A 19,748-nucleotide genomic window follows, 5' to 3' on the forward strand; every position below is an offset into this window, starting at 1 on the left:
CTCTTAGCCAACTGTGAGGTAAGTACTATTTTTATCCTCTTTTTACTGATGAGGAAACTGAGGCTCAGAGATGGTGAATACATTTACTCAAGGTCTCATAGCTAAAAACAAATGAGTTAAGAAACAAATATGAGTGGTTCAAGGCCTCCTGTCTGGGTTTAGATAATCAGTATAATAACAAAAATATAATTATTTCTAATAAAAGATAATAATAGTGATAGAGTGATGATCTATTGAGCATTTGCCAATGCTACCAGCCTTGGTTCTAGGTACTACATATATATATATATATATATATATGTGTACATATATACATAAATTTATATGATTGTTAAGCTCACCTTGAGACACAGGTGCAATTAAGATCATTGTCATATATTACAAATAAGGAAACTGAGGAACAGAGAGTTGAAATAACTTGTACAGTGTCATTCAGTGACACAGGCAGAGCCAGGACTCGAACCCAGGCAGTCCAGCTTCATAACACGTGATACAATCTGTACAGGGGTCAGGGGAGCCCAAAGTAGATTTCATTGTTTGCCCCTCCCACTCTAGTCAATGCTCATTTTACTAACACAGGGAAAGTTGTAATTCAAGTGAAATTAATTCAGAATAAATACCAGGGGATGTTTAGAGGATAAAAAGTAACAAAAGTATAATCTGGGGGTTGTGCAGGACAAAGTTTGTGTGCATTCTTGTAATTGTGATTGTAATGATTTCCTGTAGCAACAGGGCTGATGAGATTTAGAGACATAAAAGTGTCTCAGGGCCAGGCATGGTGGTTCACACCTGTAATCCCAGCAATCTGGGAGGCCGGGGCAGGCAAATTACTTGAGGCCAGAAGTTCGGGACTAGCCTTGGCAACATAGTGAGACCCCCAACTCTACAAAAAATTAAAAAAATTAGCTGGGTGTGATGGTGTACACCTCTAGTTGTAGCTACTTGAAAGGCTGAGGTGGAAGGATCAGTTGAACCCAGGAGTTCGAGCCCATAGTCAGGTAAGATCTCACCATTGTACACTAACCTGGGTAGCACAGTGAGGCCCCATCTATAAAAAAAGAAAAACACCTGTGTCTCAGACTGTTTTTTGTCCTACCACTTTCTTTTTTCCTCACTGAGTTCCTGCCTCAATATCAGTTCAGAGTTACGGCAAGGGACAAGTATCCTAGCTCACCTTATGCTAGGAATTATTCTGTGCCAAAGAATGTTAATCCACATGCAGTGGGTCTGGGGATGGTCAAAGAGTCTACATTTCTTAAAGGTCCTAGGCGATGCTGATGCTGCAGGCCCAAGGATCACACCTGGAGAAGCATGGACACCTTGTTGTAAACAGAAGATCTACTGCTGACCACAAGCTAGCAGCCATGAGCTATGGCTGATGTAAGGAAGGACACAGAAGAACAGACCAGCCAGGGTGAGTGAAAGCCAAGGTTTCCTGCCCATTTTCCTAACCCGTGATAGTTTCCAGAGCTACTGGGTAGCATAAGATAATAATTGATATTCTTTTTTTTTGAGATGGAATCTCGCTCTGTTGACAGGCTGGGGTGCATTGGTGTGATCTCAACTCACTGCAACCTCCGCCTTCCGGGTTCAAGCAATTCTCCTGCCTCAGCCTCCTGAATAGCTGGGACTACAGGCCTGCGCCACCACATCCGGCTAATCAGCTAATTTTTTGTATTTTTAGTAGACACGGGGTTTCACCATGTTGGCCAGTATGGTCTTGAACTCTTGATCTCGTGATCCACCCACCTCAGCCTCCCAAAATGCTGGCATTACAGGTGTGAGCCACCCTGCCTGGCCAATAATTAATATTTTTAATGAGGTGACCTTCTTTTGCAAATACAGTCATTGTCTTCTGGATGATATATCGAATAAATTAGGAAAGTATATAATATGTGATAAAAATATTTCCATCAAGCATTGTTAAATTAAACAGCGTGGGAGTTGCAGGTAGTGAACATCTGTTATGGAGAAAAAAAAATATCTCTGCAGATTTCCCGAAGGATTAGGTAAATAAAGCATTATCTAAATTTGTAAAGCCGTTCTCTAAGCTCCTGTGGTGCCATGAATTCTGCTGTGGTGAGATAAAATTTCAAGGAAACAGCAGATGTTTCCTAACATATTGTTGCCTTGGCCTTCCTCTTATTGAGTTGCCCACTGCTGTGGGAGATGGCGGGCTCAGAATTAGTCAGTCCAGTGTCTGAATAGACGCCACTGTTATGAACACTTCTGGTAATAGAGCCGGAGCCAAGATTTTTGACAGAAAAAGAGTTTTCTTGGGTTTTTAAAGAGTGAGGAAAAATTCAAGATGATGGGAGAGCTTGATTTGCTTCTAGTACACGAAATCAAATCTGATTTGTTGGTAGGATACTCAAGGACGCAAAACCTTAGACCCCAGTGGATACCTGAGAAGTGAAGGGGTCTTCTTTATCCCTCAGCCGAGCCCTAGATCTGGGGAAGGGAACTCCAGATGAGTTGGGGACATGGCAGAGCATCTTTTTTCTGGGTGTAGCCTGAAGAGGCAGTGAATCCATGGGCCAATGTGGGTGAGGTACAGTGGAGATTGGATTGTGTGAGGGGCATTGCTAGAGTGGCTATATTTAGGGACTTTATTTTCTCCTGAAAATATCATCAATCCCCTCTTTTAAAAATGTGTCATTTGTTTTGCCTATTTTTTGAACTTTGTGTAGTTTTCTTTAGTGACTTGCTTTTTTTTTCCTTTGCCTAATACGAGCTTTTGAGATTCCTCCATGTTAACCTGTCCCTGTAGTTCACTGTTTCCCCTGCTGCATTCTACTCCATTGAATAAGCACACCACCGTTTATCCATTCCATTGTGATGAATTTGGGGGTGGTTTCTAGTGTATTTTGCTGTTACAAACAAGGCTTCTATAAATGTTTTTGCATGTGTTTCATGAAAAGTTTCTTTTTACGGCCATACTTCCTGACCCATCATGACAGACATAGAAAATGACAGCATTTGTTCAACACACAGGGGTAAACTGGAGGGTGTTTGGAGGCATCTCCATGGGTCTTGGTGAAAAAAGAATTTTTTTATATTACATAATTGTATTAAAAAATGAATTTGTATAAAATTTCCGCATGGAAGCTTTCAACATTTTTAAAAAGAGAAACTTAAGCTTTCCTCCTTGAACATAATTTTTTTTTTAAGTCAGGCTTTATGCATGAAATGGTTACATGCAATTTCTGGTCAAGATTTAAAATGATGATGTCTTTAAATTCTTGATAGTCACCACTGATGAAAACCATTGCTGTCAAGGTAGGTAATAAAAATTTTAAAATCATTTAATAACAATTCAAAAATGATAATGAGTCAAAAAGCTCTGTTTTTTCATTGACAAGCGTTACATTGAAAATACCTTGCTAACGCAACTCAATTTTAAATTCAATCAAACATTTTTATATCAACTGTTACAAAATAATGAGGAAGCTCTGATTTGCTGAGTAGGCTTGCATGGCTAGAGTAGTCACCCTGCTGCTAAATGGATGTCGTAAAAGAGACCTTCTGCTACAAACTGCTGGAACCATTCAATTTAGACCTCTGACTAATGCTACATCTTCCAGTATCCTGTCTGACCTCCCAGCAACCAGCCCTAGAACCCAAAAATGAGACTTCTCAGTTTGTACACTTTGAGAGGAGCTACCCCACTGGTATTTAGGGAGGAAAACCTAGCTGTGTCTTGGACCAAAGGGCTGCTGGAGGACTTCCTTGTTTGTGTGGCACAAGAGGTAAATATCCAAGTTGGAGAGGATGTCTTTCTTACTCGTAGGGTGTTGTGGATGGGAAGCATGAATGGGATTTTGTTCAAGGGGCTCCCAGCCTACTGGGTGTCTTGCTAATTCTGGGTCTCCTCCACTTCAGCCAGTACTGAAGAGCAGTCAAAAGCTACAGCCCAGAGGGTGCTGCTGGCTAGAAAGCTTGGCTCACCTTGGAATCATCTGGATGTTTTAAACAATACTGATGTATGGGTCTTATGCCAGAGATTCTTTTTTAATTGTATGGGTACAGCCTAGGGATCAGGATTTGTAAAAAACATACCAGGTAACTGTGATATACAGCAAAGTTTGAGATCCACTCTTAGAAATGGACTTTTTGGATTGTAAATTAGAGCATTTTGAATTCTACTCCGCAATCCCTAATTGTTTTACAAAGTGGTTGCACCTGTGTACCTGTAGTGCCTGAGTTCCTGATCATTGCTTTCTATCCTTATGCGATGCTTGTTATTTCATCAAGTTGGTGGTTGTGGGATGGTATTTCGCTGTGATTTTAACTTGCATTGCCTTGTCTATGACATTCAGCATATTTTCATATATTTGATGGCCTTTCCTGTCTCCTCTTCTGTGAAATACCTATTCAGGTGTTTTGCTCATTTTTTTTATTAGGTTGTTTGCTTTTTTCTTATCAATTCATAGACATTCTTTTACTCTGGATATTAATCTTTTGTCAGTTAAATGTTTTACAAATATATTCTCCCAGGTTGTGCCTATCTTTTCAACTTTTTATGATGTCTTGGTGAGCAGGTCTTAATTTTAATGTTTTTAAATATATTATAGCTTTTAAAAATAGTTCCCCCTGCCAGAGTGGTTTTTTTTGTTTTGTTTTGTTTTTTGTTTTTTTTTTTGGAGGCAGGGTCTCACTCTGTCACCCAGGCTGAAGTGCAGTGGTACAATTATGGCTCACTGCAGTCTTGACCTCCTGGGCTTGGGGGATCCTCCTGCCTTAGCCTCCTGGGTAACAAGGACTACAGGTGCATGTCACCACACCTGCCTAATTTTTCGTAGAGACAGGATTTCACCATGTTGCCCAGGCTGGTCTGAAACTCCTGGGATTAAGCAATCTGCCAGCTGTGGCCTCCCAAAGTGTTGGGATTACAGGTGTGAGCCACCATGCCCAGCCTTATTTTGTCTTTTTAAAGACATTCTTTCCTTTCCTGAAGCCATAATGGTATTCTTTTGTTTTCTTCCAAAAGATTTAAAGTTTTGTTCTTTGCATTTAAGTCTTTATTTATGTCTACAATAGATTTTTGTGTATGTCTCTAGATAGGAATCTATTTTTTTTTTCCTTTTCTCGTGAAGACCATCAACTATTCAGCAACATTATTAATTTATTCATCCTTCCCTTCCTAACCTGCAACAGACAGTTTCTCAAACCAGGTGATAGGCTATTTCATGCCATTCTCACGGAACACGTGATTCAAATTTATGCCTCAGAAAAATTATAAATACTATGAGCTATTAGCTGTACAGCACTGTTATAGTCTTTATAGCTCATGTGAGGAAATAAAAAGGTGTTTTTTAAAGGGCATTATTTGTAAATGATTTAAGGACATCATGTATGAATGATGATCGTGCCCATGTTACAGATGAGGAAACAGGCTCAGAGAGGTTAAATCACTTGTCCAAGGTCACACAGCCAGTGTTCAAATGCATTCTGGCTCCAGAGTCTGTGCGTTAAGCACTGTGCTGTGCTGCCTCTCTAAATGAACACATTCTAAACTTTATGGTTCCTTATTACTATCAATCATTAATGCCTGTACTACATTGATCAACTACATAGAAGTTTTAAATATGCAAATTAAGAAGCATAAGATAGCCAAATGGTTTATAAATGATACCCTTAAAAAAAAAAACTCTATTTTTAATTATTCAAAAAAACAAGAAATCCACAGAAAGACCTTCAATTCTTCAGAGTCTCCTAATGACTGTAAACAGTCACTCTAGCAAGCAGGTCATGGAGTCTACAAGTGCACTTCAGTCAGCCAAGTTCACCTTGAGAGTTAGTGCTGCAGCTCTTGGTTATTTTCAAACACTGTCATTTATTTGTTTTAAATAAAGAAAACAACTTAGAAGAGACTTAGTTCCCCGTAAGCACTGATTGGGTTCAAGAGGTTGGGAGTGCAGGAGGCCAGATCCCAGGGAGGTGGCAGTGCTTTGCTTCGTAGGTGCCCATTTGGCTTAAGATCCTAAGGTCTCTGTTGCCAGAAGGGTCGGGCGGAGGCCCGTTAAAATCAGAGCAGGAGGATCATCTGCTTTTTTCTTTTTTCTAAAAGCAGTCGGAGTAAACCAATCTGAGACAAGAGGCTTTTGTTTGTGATAATTGGTTTCTCCTGCAAACAAGTTGGCATGCAACATTAGCTGTTTGCAATTCTAATGACCTTTTGGTTGAGTACAGACAAAATTGCCAAATGGCTCTAAAATAACTATGTATTCTGACCTCTTCATCAATTCTCTCCTGGGCAATATTTCCATAAGAAAACGGGAAGAATGGTGCTCATGCCTAGGAGACCTTTTTATTTCTCCAAGTTATTTGCTCTCACTGTACCTTGCAAAGGCAAGGCCCTGTTTTACTGACTTCACCTTCCTGTCTTCAATTTTCACATCAGATCTAAGGGATACCTGGTTCACACATGTTAAAATCCCAGCTCATTTTTCACGTCAGTTTATTGACATCAGTTTCTGTCAGTATTGTTGGGAGCAGGCAAGAGTTAAATATTTAATACCTTTCTCTCTCTACTCTTACACTCACAAGCTAAAAAAAAAAACAAAAACAAAAACCCAAACAGCAATCAAACATAAACAAACCCATTCAGATGTTGAGCATGGAACCAAAAGGTAAAACTCCAGACCCTTTTGTGGAGCACCCTTGCTGAAGATAGGCTGAAAAGAACAAGCCTTTGCTCCAAGAGTGGAACATGTTTTTATATTGACATTCCAAAGGCTAGGACAAGATGTGTTCTCCCCTTTGTTTATTTTTTCACAAGGCTGAAGAGGAATGTCTTCCTTTATAGAGAGAGGGAAGGATTTTGGAAAAAAGAAATGGGGCTCATCTGTGGAAATAACAGTAGAGATGGTTTGGGTTAGGGAGGAGAGCATTCCTGTTGCTCACTAATCAGGGGGAAATGTGTAACCATATGCCCCATTATGGATTTTCTTAGGTAGATGAATCTAATGCAATTTTGTTCCCTTTTGATTAGGGCAATTAATTAGAGGCTTTGCTAAATGTGATTTGATTTTTATATTTTTTAGATTATTTTACTTTCAAAACTCACCAGTCTCTTGTGAAGCAAATCACGTGTTTTAGTTCAGAAGATACTGTATCTATTTAGGGCCCTTCTATCCAGAAGCCCAAGGATGGGCCTGTCCAAGACCTGCTGCCCTGTCAAGGTGTCAGGGTCAGTGCAACGCATCCAAGGTAGCCTTTGCTTCCCTGCTGGGGTTGGGGTGAACATACACTATAAAGCTGGGGTAGCTGAGCTGTGTGAGGCCTTTGAGGATGAGACAGCTGGCAAAACTGGTGGGAACAGCCCTACTTGCTCTTCTGGGCATGTGAGGCCTCAGCACTACTTGGGAAACTCAGGAAAACCATGGGTTTAGTGGGGAGGAGATGAGAAGACTTGTGACAGAGATCCTCATCACATCACCCATACTTCTCTCTGTGAGAGAATTGCTGAGCAATTCTCAATGGTGTGTTGCCTTTGGCATTCCATCAATTTAGCAAAAATGTACAAGCCATTTACTATGGAGGAGTAGGAACCCAGAGAAGTTAAACAAATTATTCCAGGAAGTATAACCGGTTGGTGGCAGAGCCAAGACTGAAAGCCAAGTCTCAGGACTTTTGGTTCACGGTCAACCACGACACCACATTGCTGAGTATTTACTGCCTCCCTCGTGTTGCCTTTAGGTCATTTTGCTTTAGGAACTGAGCTTTTGTATCAAGAGATGACAGGCCTATTTTGGTAGCCAGGAGAAGGGGAGGACAAAAGAACATGCAATAAAAGTAGTATTTCTTGTGTCAGCCTTCAGAGCTAGGTAGAGAGGGCCAGATAATAAACAACATAAAGACCAAGGATCAGAGAAATATCTAAAACCCATTTCTATCCTCATCTATACATGACTGGCCTCTGTAACCACACATGTAGCCGCCATCTGCGCCGCCTCGCTTCCTCTGGGTAGTTCTGCCTTGTGATTCTTCCTCCTGAAGGAAAAGTGCTAGTTACACAGCGCAGGGGCACTGAATGCAATTTTGAACGATATGAATTTGAAATAGTGGGACCTAAAAATATTAACGAAGTCTCGATTGGCTATGCACATTTGAAAAAAACTCAATAATTCTCCGAATTAGAAAAAGTGTAAATAATTTACACAATTTCAAAGCAGGGGACCCATCGGAATTGTCTGCTGTGTTCACACTGTAAATTTGAAAAAACCCCAGTAATTCTCCAGATTAAAAAAAGTGTAAATCATTTACGCAATTTCGAAGCAGGGCCTCCACTGGAATTGTCTGCTGTGTTCATGCCGTTGCCAGATGACAGTGCTGCTTCAGCTGGTTAATGGAAACATGTGGCTTCCATTGTTGGTGGCTGTGGATCACTCTCATGTTTATATGCACTAGAATTTCTGCAAGGGATTTTGGTTATTTTTGTACTGTTATTTTAATATTCATTGCTACTTAAAAATTAAAACTTTTTGAATCACATAATATCATCTAAGTTGTCATTAAGCCATATTGCCTGGACTTGTGCTGAAAAATCAGTCACTTTGTGGTAGAGGTTATGTAAATTTGAGTCCCCAAAGGGAAACTTTAGAGAAAATATTGAGAAAATAAAGAAATATTAAAAAGCAAACATGCTACATATTTGTGGATTAAATACATTTTGAGGCCGGGCATGGTGGCTTATGCCTGTAATCTCGGCACTTTGGGAGGCTGAGGTGGGCCGATCACTTGAGGTCAGGAGTTCCAGACCAGCCTGGGCAACGTGATGAAACTCTGTCTTTACTAAAAATTCAAAAATTAGCTGGATGTAGTGGCAGGCACCTGTAATCCCAGCTACTCGAGAGGCTGAGGCAGGAGAATCGCTTGAACCTGGGAGGTGGAGGTTGCAGTGAGCCAAGATCACGCCATTGCACTCCAGCCTAGGCGACAGAGCGAGACTCCGTCTCAAAAATAAATAAATAAGTAAATAAACTAATTAATTGATTAAATACATTTTGAGATTGTAGTCCCTCCACAATTGTTTTAACTTTAGAAAAATTAATTTTGTATTATGAAAATTTTAAATTCTGTGGGGGTCTTGAGGAATGCATCCTTGACCCAAATAAGAATATGCTATACCCAAGTATTAGGGGTGAATTTTGTCTCCCCAAACGATATTGGAGTCCTCACTCCTGGGACCTGTGAATGGGACCTTTTTGGAAATAAGGCCTTTGCTGATGATTAAATTAGAATGAGGCCATTACAGTGGCCCTCATCCAATATGACTGATATCCTTACCTAAAAGGAAAATTTGGACACAGAGACAGACATGCACAGAGGGAGACAATGTGAAGACAGTCTTCACATTGTAGACATCTACAAGTCAAGGAATGCCTGAGGCTACCAGAATCTCCGGGAGGGGGCATGGAACAGATTGTCCCTCAGAACCCTCAGAAAGAATCCACTCTGCTGAGACCTTGATTGCAGACTTCTAGCTTCCAGGGCCTGGGAGAAAATACATTCTTGTTGTTTGAGCCACCCAGTTTGTGATACTTCGTTATGGCAGCCCTAGCCAACAAATATACCAAGTGGCTGATCTGAGTTAAAATAATTCATTTTTAGGAGTGTACAAAGGTTGTGGTCCCAATGTTTTGGCCAACAGCAGATCCCAAGGAATGGCCCTTAGAAGGAGGGGAATGCCTACCCCAGTTGCTACCAGTCCCCAGGGGAAAACCTTGCTTTCTCAGCCACTTATGTGCATGTGTGATTAGTTCATCAGACGCATTTCTAAGAGATTGGCTGACATCAAGGTGATGAGTGACGACTTTGACTGGAGTGATGAAATTGCAGTGAAAGTGGAAGCATTGCCCAGCTGATCAGGCATACTACCCAGGATCTGGTTACCACTACCATAGCATGAAGGGAAATTGATGGACCAATCAGGAGGGTTGAAGTTTGTCTAAGGACGTCATACACAAGGTTAGCAACCTGCTTTTTTTTTTTTTTTTTTTTTTTTTGGTGCTGTGGGCTAGGTTCGTGCAGGTAACAGAAGGGTATGGCTGCATGGAGAGGTCAGGAGAGGAGTGGGGGAGCTGAAGGGAGGATCCAGGTGCTGAGATAAGGGGACAAAGCTTAGGGTTGAAGGGGGAACAGTGGGAGGCACCATGGTTTCCTTAATGCACTGCGCGGAGCCAGGACCCTAGGTAGGACAAGGCTTGGCTTTCGGTGGACAAACATCAAGGCTGGAGGGAACAGAAACGGAAACACTTCCTCTGTGCTTGGCCCAAGAAAACTGGCAGCACCTTCCCAGTTACAGGGAAGGGATTAGGGCAGCATGGGCTGTCTGGACGGTGTCATTCTGTAGTCATGTGTCCAATTATTCACAAAGCAAGATGGTTTCTTGGGGTGATGCATATTTTATATGTAGGCTGGTGGTTTTGGAGACAAAATCAAGTGCCATTTAGGCTGCTGTGCTTTCTGAAGCAGAAGTGTCTCATAATGACTCTGCGTGCAGAATATAGAACAGAGTTAAGCAAAGTGGTTGATAGACAAATGCACCTTTTAGTCTTTGAATGGCTAAGGCCCTTTCTCTGATCCAGCAGGAACCAAGTTTCTGCTTTCATTTCTTCTATCATCTTGATCCCTCCCTTCATCATTGGATGAACAAACGTGGAGGCAAGTGGGAATAGTGGAGGGCAGGTAGGAGATGGAGGGAAACAAACCATTACATATCTTTGCGGAGGGTGGTTTTAACAGCAATCCCAATAACAGCAACAGGAATGCCAGTGGCTGATATTCACTGAGGACTTGCTATGTGTGAGCCCTAGACTTGGTATGTTGAGTCCCACTCTAATTATGCAAGGAAGCTCTAATTATCTCTTTCTTATAACAAAAAACTGGTGTCTCCCAGATTTTAAGTATTGGTCTACATCACTACTCTTGACACACATGGCCAAGAGTAGACTCTAGTAATATACAGTATTGTTTCATAATACCTAGCAAGCAGAATTTTTGGCCTAGTTTTTTTCCCTCACATTTCTCATCATAACACAGGAGCCAGATGACATCTTAGTCCCTTGCCATGTTCTGTGACAGTGGGGGAAGACCCAGCTTACAAGACAGCTGGTTCTATTTTTCCAGGTGAGGTCTCAATGTAAAGAAATGGCTGTGGATGAAATGAGAAGTGGAGGTGGAATGTACCAGTTTCAAGGTAGGGGATATGGTTGGCTATATGATGAATTTTAGATTTCCTTGGTGTGTGCAAGCAGTATACATCATTAGAACAAGATAGGATAGGGGCAACAGCGTCTGAAGATGTGAATGGTTTCTACCACTTGTTGTTACTGTGAATGCTCTTCCTGTGGATTGAAATTCAGAGGCTATAAAGATGACATTTAAGAAATGACCCCTTTTGTGCATTATCTGTTGCAAGTTGGGAGAGGAAAGTTTCTTTTTTTATATGTTTAGTTGACACCTAATAATTATACATACTTATGGGGTACAGAGTATTTCCATACATGCATATGATGTTTAGTGATCAAATAGGTAATTAGCGTATCCATCAGCTCAAACATCGATCCTTTCTTTGTGTTGGGAACATTCAAAATCCTCTCTTCCAGCGTTGGACCACATACAATAAATGATTGTTAACCAAATTCCAAATTCACCCTGCGGTGTGAAGAGGAAAGGTTCTTTGTCGGACATTATTCCAGGGCACTTACTTGCTGGCGTGCTCCCTGCCTCTCCTGCTCCATTCCTCAGCTGCCAAGTGCTGGCAGGGTTGTGTGTGCAGTTGCAAGTTGTCACTTGGGTAATAAAGGAGAAGGAGCATAGCTTGGCAGACTCTCCGACATGGCCATGTGCATCCTGCGCAAATAGAATTATGATTAATGACTAGCCTGGCAGCTGAATTGGACTAGAGAACTTGGCCGAGGTCAAGGTAGGCCCAAGGAGCAGCCTGGGTGAGGCTGTCTGAGGGCGGAGATGGCGCAGATGAGGGGCAAGGCCCAAAGGAAGGCAGGCAGGGGGTGCTGATTACTTGGGGGATCCTGTGTAAGGAGGGGATCTGCAGAGCAGGGGAGTTGGGAAGGGTGGTAGGGATCTGAGCCCATGTCCTATGCACAAGGCCTGACTCCTCCTGTGGCCAAGCTTGAGCTGCTCTGCTGCCTTTGTAGGCTGCTGTGTTAGTTTCCTCCAGCAGCCATAAAAGTTACCTCCATCTTGATGGCTTAAAACAGTTATGAAGGCCAGAATTGAAAGATGAGATTATTGGCAGGGTCTCACTCCCTCCTAATGCTCTAGGGTAGAACCCTCCCTTGCCTCTGACAGCTTCTAGTGCATGTCAGCATGCCTCGGCTTCCCTGGATGCATGGCTCCAGTGTGCCTCAGTGGCCACAGTCCCTCCTCCTCCTCATGTGTCTTCTCCTCTTCTGTCTGTTACAAAGGTACTCGTCATTAAATTCAGTGCCCACCTGGGTAACCCAGAATGATCTGATCTCTTCATTACTTCTGCAAGGACCCTTTTTTTGAAAGAAGGTCACAGTCACAGGTTCCAGGGGTTAGGAAATGGACATAATGTTGGGGACCACCATTCAACCCATTACAGTTGCTGAGAGAATTGTGAGGGCCTAAATCTGTATTGGTTTTTAAAAAACTTTTTTTTTTGGTTTCAGTTGAGACCACACATATTCACTGGGCTTGAATTTGCATGTGGTGTTCAGTGGCAGGCAAGCCAGCTTTCAGGATGTCTGTTATCCAAAGCTACACTCTTAGGGCACCTCCAGATGACTCTCGGGCTTTCCAATCTGATCTTCTGCTTCTCCCCCTCCACGTGTGCCCTTCATCTTGTGGTAGGCAAATCAGACTCAATACCTACGGAGAAAGCAAAGGACATCAGTGACCATCTAATTCACATGTGTTACAAATGATTGACACAACTCTAACTGACTCTGCCCTAGACTCCTAACAGATACTAATTATCTACTGTGACACCAGTTCAGACAGAGCCTATCTATGATGGTTAATTTTGTGTCAACTTGATGGGGCCACAGGATGCCCAGATGTCTGATGAGCATTGGAATTGGTATGCTGGGGAAAGCAGACTTCCCAGTGTGGGTGGGCCTCATCCAGTTCATTGAGGGCATGGATAGAACAAGAGGGTGAAGGAAGGTTGGATTCACCCTCTCTCTGTCTGACTGCTTGAGTTGTACATCAGTCTACCGCCTGCTCCTAGTTCTCAGGCCTTCGAACTCAGACTGAAATCTACACTATTGGCTCTCCACCTCTCAGGCCTTCAAAACACAGTGCTGGAATTCCTGGGTTTCCAGAAAACACAGCACTGGAATTCCTGGGTTTCCAGAGTGCAAATAGCAGATCCTGGGACTTCTCAGACTCTGTAATCAATACGTTATAAGAAATCACACACACACACACACACACACACACACACACACACACACACACACACACACACACGTTCTATTGGTTCTGTTTCACTGGAGAACCGTGACTGATACAGAGCTTCAGACCTCTCAGTCCAGGCCTCAGTAGCTGCTGTCATGGGTTAGGGATAGCACACAAAATGAAATCTCTGCCACTTCTGACCCAAAACGAGCCTCATTTCATAGATAAGGAAACTGGGGCCCATGGAGGATGAGATAATTGAAAGGTGGTTGTCTATTCAAGTGGTATTTTAACATTTCATTTCCCATGTCAAAAAAAAAATAAGATGAACAGCCTGTAGATTTCCAAATCAGGATTTTTTTGACTTTAAAAACACCTAATATTGAACTGATTTTCTTCATATTTTTTAATAGCTTCCCAAGCCACATAGAAACCTGGAGCCTGTCACCCTACCAGTGTGACTTATGACATACTGTACAGCCACTCTGTTCCATAGCTTTCAGGATCCATCTGTTAGCTCATATAAAACAAAATTTCTATTAAATGGGATTTTAGAAATATTATCATGGCCCAAATTGAACATCATGTGATGGAAAACAAAACATATGTTGGCAATTTTGCTTTTGATTATTGGATTGGGGTGATTTGAGTTCCAAAGGGGAAAGAAAGAGCTCCTCTCCAGACCTCATTGTGATCCTGCCAGAGTATTGTTCCTAACACCTCCATTTATTTTTAACAATTATTGTAATTATTACTTTTATACATTATAAAAGTAATATATATAAATAAATTAAGAAATTCTTTTAATCATTTACATTTTATTTTTAATTATTATGGGCATATAATGGTTGTATATATTTATGGGGTACATGTGATGTTTTGATACAGTCATACAATGTGTAATGATCAAATCAGGGTAATTGAAATGTCCATCACTACAAGTGTTTACCATTTCTTTGTGTTAGGAAGATTCCAATTTCACTCTATTAGTCTGTTCTCATGCTGCTAATAAAGACATACCTGATACTGGGTAATTTATAAAAGAAAGAGGTTTAATTGATTCACAGTTCCACATGGCTGGCAAGGCCTCACAGTTGTGGCGGAAGGCGAAGGAAGAGCAAAGTCATGTATTACATGGTGGCAGGCAAGAGAATGTGTGCAGGGGAACTGTCCTTTTATAAAACCATCAGAACTTGTGAGAATTATTCACTGTCATGAGAAGAGCACAGGAAAAACCTGCCCTCGTGATTCAGTTACATCCCACCAGGTCCCTCCCATGAGGCATAGGGATTATGGGAGCTATAATTCAAGATGAGATTTGGGTGGGGACACAGCCAAACCATATTATCTACTTTTTTAGTTATTTTACAATATATAATAAGTTATTGTTAACTATAGTTGCCCTATTGTGCTACTGAATACCAGACCTTATTCATTCCGTCTTAACTGTATTTTTGTACCCATTAACATTCCCCACCTTGTCTTCCCCTCTCTGCTATCTTTCTCAGCCTCTGGTAACCATCATTCTACTCTTTATGAATTCAACTTATGTTTTTCTCTTAGCTCCTGCCCATGAGTGAGAACATGTGACATTTATCTTTCTGTGCTTAGCTTATTTCACTTAACATCATGTTCTCCAGTTCCATCTAAGTTGTCGTAAATGACAGGATCTCATTCTTTTTTATATGCCTCCATTTCTTGAGAGCCATTCCCATCCAACTCTGAGTGGCTAAAATGCTGACTTCCTTAGAAATTTGAAATTCTCCCATTTAGACCTGTTGTTAAAAAAGAACAGCTCAAAAACATTATATTTGATACAGCTTTTCCAATAACAGTTCTTTGGGCTGCTACAATTTGGAGAAAAGTTGAGAAAATAGGAGTGAGCATTTCAAGTTTGAAAAAGAAAAAGAAGAAATAAGGCTAGAATTCATTGTTAGCTTGGTCTGTTTACTCCCAAGGATAATGCCTATTTGATGCAATTGAGCAAAGGGACATTGATGGGGGGATTCTGAGGCAGAAGACTCCAATTTACAATATTCAAGGGGCCATATACAATATTCTGTCGAAGCCTCTACAATGACCCTATGAGATAGCTGCTGTTGTTTCCATTTTACAGAGGAAAAAAAAGTATGAGAAAATTATTTGTCCAAGGTCAGCTAGTAAAGGGCAAGGGAAGTAATGGATTTACAGTGGTGTCTTCTAATTAAGCAAGGTATCCCAGTAGGAATTCATGGTAACTCCTGATGCTTTTCTTATTCTTGAATAGGACATTTCCCTAGGGGAAAACGCTACAAGTAAATTAGAATCAAATGTTGAGGAAAGGAGCAGAGGAAAACTATCATGGGACCCAAGATACAAAAAGGCAAATAACAGAGAAGGGGTTGGAGGACTGTGTGATAAACTGTATTCCCTTCACCCCCACACTCCAGCTAATCTGATTTTGTAAGTTGTACAGGCGTTGTTAATTACATTTTGACTATATTTTGAGTAATGATTAGAACTACCATACTAGGTGCTTGGCAGTATCTAGGATTAAATGTCTCGTTTTTAATTCTCACCATAACTTGAGGTACAATGGGGTGTGTATTGTCCTCTCCATTTTACAGGTTAGGAAACAGATGTAAAATGCGACCTAATTTGCCTCCAATCCTGGGGCCGAAGTGGGATTTATTGCCAAGGCTATAGCTCTGCACGCATTCCCGGTGACGTCCTGTGGTTTGAAACTCCTCTGAGTGGCTTCATGTTTTGTTTCTCTTTCACTGGGGAGGATAAAGTCACCACTAGGTCCTTTCTGTGTTCTTTGCTGCCTTTTTCTCTTCAGCATCCACAGTCCTGACTTACTGCATTTTGGTCTGGATTTCAACTAGCTGAAACTTAATCCCTGATACCGTTAGCTGAGAGAGAGCATCAAGTATTAATCCTCCAGGGAGTATGTTTTTTTAAAGGAGACACTGGAAGGGCAAAAGGTCTTTAAGACTCAGATGATTCCGTGATAATGAAAATTGAAGCAGGGTGAGCGGGAGAGAGTTTTAAGAGGAACGATCGTCTCAGAGCTTCAGAACCAGTAGACACTGTATGGCCCTGGAACCAGCAACACTGGCATTACCTGGGAGTTCCTTAGACATGCAGAATCCGGGGCCATCCTCAGGCCTACCAGTGTGCATTTTAACAAGATCCCTAGGTAATTTGGGAGTACCTTATAGTTTGAGAAGCACTGGTGTAATCCATGCTCTGACATTTTTGTCTGATCTCTGGCAGTGGGCTGAGCTCAGCACTGGAACTGAAAGGCAAATTTAAACATCCTTTTTCAAGTGAGCAGGTAAGAGGTAACTTAAGGAAAGAGCAGCAGAAAATCAGTTCTGGGCATACAAGAGTTGGCAGTATGTTGGGAAACACAGTTGACTGATTCAAAACAGAATAAATGGGCCAGTTTCAATGTGTAGTTGCTGAGTTAGCAAAAATCTACCAGGTCAAATCAAATTCAAAGTGTTTTAGCTTTAGATAAGCAATATCTAGTCTCTCCCTTATGAGAGCAAATGTAAAATAGTCTAAAATTTTTATTAGCAGTGGGAGAGTTGGCAAGATCCTGTTTCCTCTGGGAGCCAATGCAATCATTTCTCTCATAGCTCAGTTCATGAACTGACTATTTTCCCAGGAACTGAAATTGTTAGTTTCCTTGAGCAAAAAGCAATTTTGTTTCCCTCTGATTTTTCTCTAAGTGCAGGTTAGCCTGAAGCTCGGCACTGCCCTGTTCTGCAGAGATGCTCCAAGCTGACCTGTTCTTCTTAACAATGTCATCATGCAGATAAATCGGACCCTAAGAATCAGGGAAAAAAGCAGCCCCAGAACTTGGCGTTTTCTCAGCTTATCACACTGAGTTTTTGGCAAATGTTTCGAACTTTAAGTGTTTCAAATTTTCTCTAATATAATTTACCTGGCAATCTCCTCCAGGAATGCTGAGTGAAGGTTAATGAGATGATGCAGCTGCTTTGATCTCCTAGGGAGAAAAAGAAGGTTATAAATATATCAAACCCAATGACTAGATACAAACAAGATTTTAAAAAGTAAAATGATACGTCATTAACACAATCACCTATCTGCGTTAACCATGCTGTTTCCATGCTGTTTTCTGCTTACAGGCTTGAGCCTAAGAGTCATTCTTAGTCATTCTCCAAGAGTGTGAGAGAAAGACGGTGAGTGGTCTGTCTACCCACATCTGGTCATTTTCATTCTCCTGCTGCAGACCTTCTAATGCCTCCTCACTGTCTTCAGAATTGCATCTCAAAACTTCAGTTTTTGTGTTTTGATCTTTACTCACCTCTCCAAGCTCAATTTATCACTTCCTGCCTCTCCTTTGCTGTAGGGACATTTTCTGTTTACCAATGCACCAGGCTCTCTCTCCCTTCAGGGCACTTTCTTCTGGCATTTACTGGCTGTTCTGTTTGCCCAGAACACTCTTCTTCTCCCGTCTTCCCAATATCCTCACCTGGCCATTCGGCATGACCTGGCAGGTCTCATCTGAGGTGTTCCTTCTCTGGGCTCCTGAGCCTCTCAGAGGATCCTGAGCCTGGGCTGTGAGGGCCCCACATGATTTCATTGCATCAGGTGCTTAGACCCTTTCTGGTGATTCTCTGCTTTTTCATCTTCCTCTTCGAGACCAGTGGCCTCAACCTGGGCCACACATTAGAGTTGCCTGGGGACATTTAAAATCTCCTGCTATCCAGATCAGATTTCAGACTAAATAAATTAGTCTCTGGGTGTGGGATCCAGGGATTAGTATTTCTAAAAGCTGTCTAGGTGATTCCAGGGCACAGGTCAATTCAAGAACCACTGTACTCAGTGGTAAAATCCTGATGAGAGTGGGTATAGTCATGAGCATTACCATAGTGCTTGGTATAAATTGGCATGCAATAGAGCTCGTGGATTGAATGAGTTGAATGAATGAGGCTTTGGCTTTGCAGACCCTGAACTTTGGTTGCCAGCTCACTCTTGGGGCTATTAACCAAAAAGTGACTGAGGCAGATCTCAATAGATAGAGGTTTATTTAGCCAAGGTTAAGGATGTGCCTGGGAAAAAATACAAGTCACAGGAGCATCTGTGACCTGTGCTTTTTCCAAAGGTGGTTTTGGGAACATCAGTAAAGGGGAAACAATAAGCAGGAAAGAAAAAAAAGGAAGAGGAGGCAGGTGGTTACATTCTTGGGAGGCTCTGATTAGGCTCAGTAAATCTACAGTTTACATGTGAAAAGAGGGGCTAGAGAAAAAGTCAATTATATATCGTCTTCCACTCAGTAAATCGTACACTTTACACAACATAAAGTGAATGTCCAGTGCAGTGGCTCACACCTGTGATCCCAGCACTTTAGGAGGCCCAGGTGGGAGAATCACTTAAGCCCAGGAGTTTGAGAGCAGTCTGGGCAACAAAGCAAGACCCTGAGTGTTAAAAAATAAAAAAAATTAGTCAGGCACAGTGGTACATGGCTGTAATCTCAGCTACTTGGGAGGCTGAGGCAGGAGGATCCCTTGAGCTCAGGAGATCAAGGCTGCGGTGAACTATGATTTTACCACTGTCCTCCAGCCTGGGTGACAGAGCAAGACCCTGTCTCAAAAACAAACAAACAAAAAGCTAAAGCAAACATGTGAAAAGAGGGAATAGAGGGAAAAGCCAGTTATACATTCATCTCAGGGTAGACAGAGGGATGATTTCTGGTCTTGTCCTTGTCCTGTGAAATTAAACAAGCAATTGACATTGTCAGAAAGTAATTCAACAGAATTTGGTTTTAGGGTTAGTTTATGGGGTGATATATATACTAAAGCAGGGGTTGGTCCCCAGCCACCAGTCCATGGACGGGTGCCATTCGGTGGCCTATTAGGAACCGGGCCACACAGCAGGAGGTGCGCTGTGGGCCAGGGAGCATTACCGCCTGAGCTTCACCTCCTGGCCGATCGGCAGTGGCATTAGATTCTCATAGGAGCACGGACCCTATTGTGAACTGCGCATGTGAGGGATCTAGGTTATGTACTCCTTATGAGAATCTAACTAATGACTGATGATCTGAGGCGAAGAGTTTCATCCCAAAACCATGCCTCCCCCTTGCCCCAATCCGTGGAAAAATTGTCTTCCAGGAAACTGGTCCCTGGTGCCAAAAAGGCTGGGGGACTGCTGTCCTAAAAGATTTAGGGGCTCACAGGGAATTTCCTTGTGAGCAATTTCTGCAGGAGGCCATTGGGGAGGTATGTGGCCTTCTATTGTCCAAGCTTAACTTTCCCTTTGGTGTAGTGAGTCTGGGATCACGAGATGGTATTTTCTTTCACAGAGGATCAGGCCTTTGGGTACCTGAGGCCCTGACATTT

At 41.9% G+C, this 19,748-nt stretch overlaps 2 annotated features.

Annotated features, from left to right (window-relative positions):
- Nucleotides 960-1,460: an enhancer, noted in NCBI's record as "H3K27ac hESC enhancer chr7:37569874-37570374 (GRCh37/hg19 assembly coordinates)". NCBI's record gives its function as "activates a minimal SCP1, AML or CMV promoter by ChIP-STARR-seq in primed H9 embryonic stem cells {active_cell/tissue: H9 hESC(primed)}" and the evidence as "EXISTENCE:reporter gene assay evidence [ECO:0000049][PMID:30033119]".
- Nucleotides 1,975-2,269: a silencer, noted in NCBI's record as "tiled region #7218; HepG2 Repressive non-DNase unmatched - State 24:Quies, and K562 Repressive non-DNase unmatched - State 24:Quies". NCBI's record gives its function as "represses a minimal TATA promoter and a strong SV40 promoter by Sharpr-MPRA in HepG2 and K562 cells {active_cell/tissue: HepG2 | K562}" and the evidence as "EXISTENCE:reporter gene assay evidence [ECO:0000049][PMID:27701403]".

The sequence above is a fragment of the Homo sapiens genome, chromosome 7 (genome assembly GCF_000001405.40).
Source record: "Homo sapiens chromosome 7, GRCh38.p14 Primary Assembly".
NCBI lineage: Eukaryota > Metazoa > Chordata > Mammalia > Primates > Hominidae > Homo > Homo sapiens.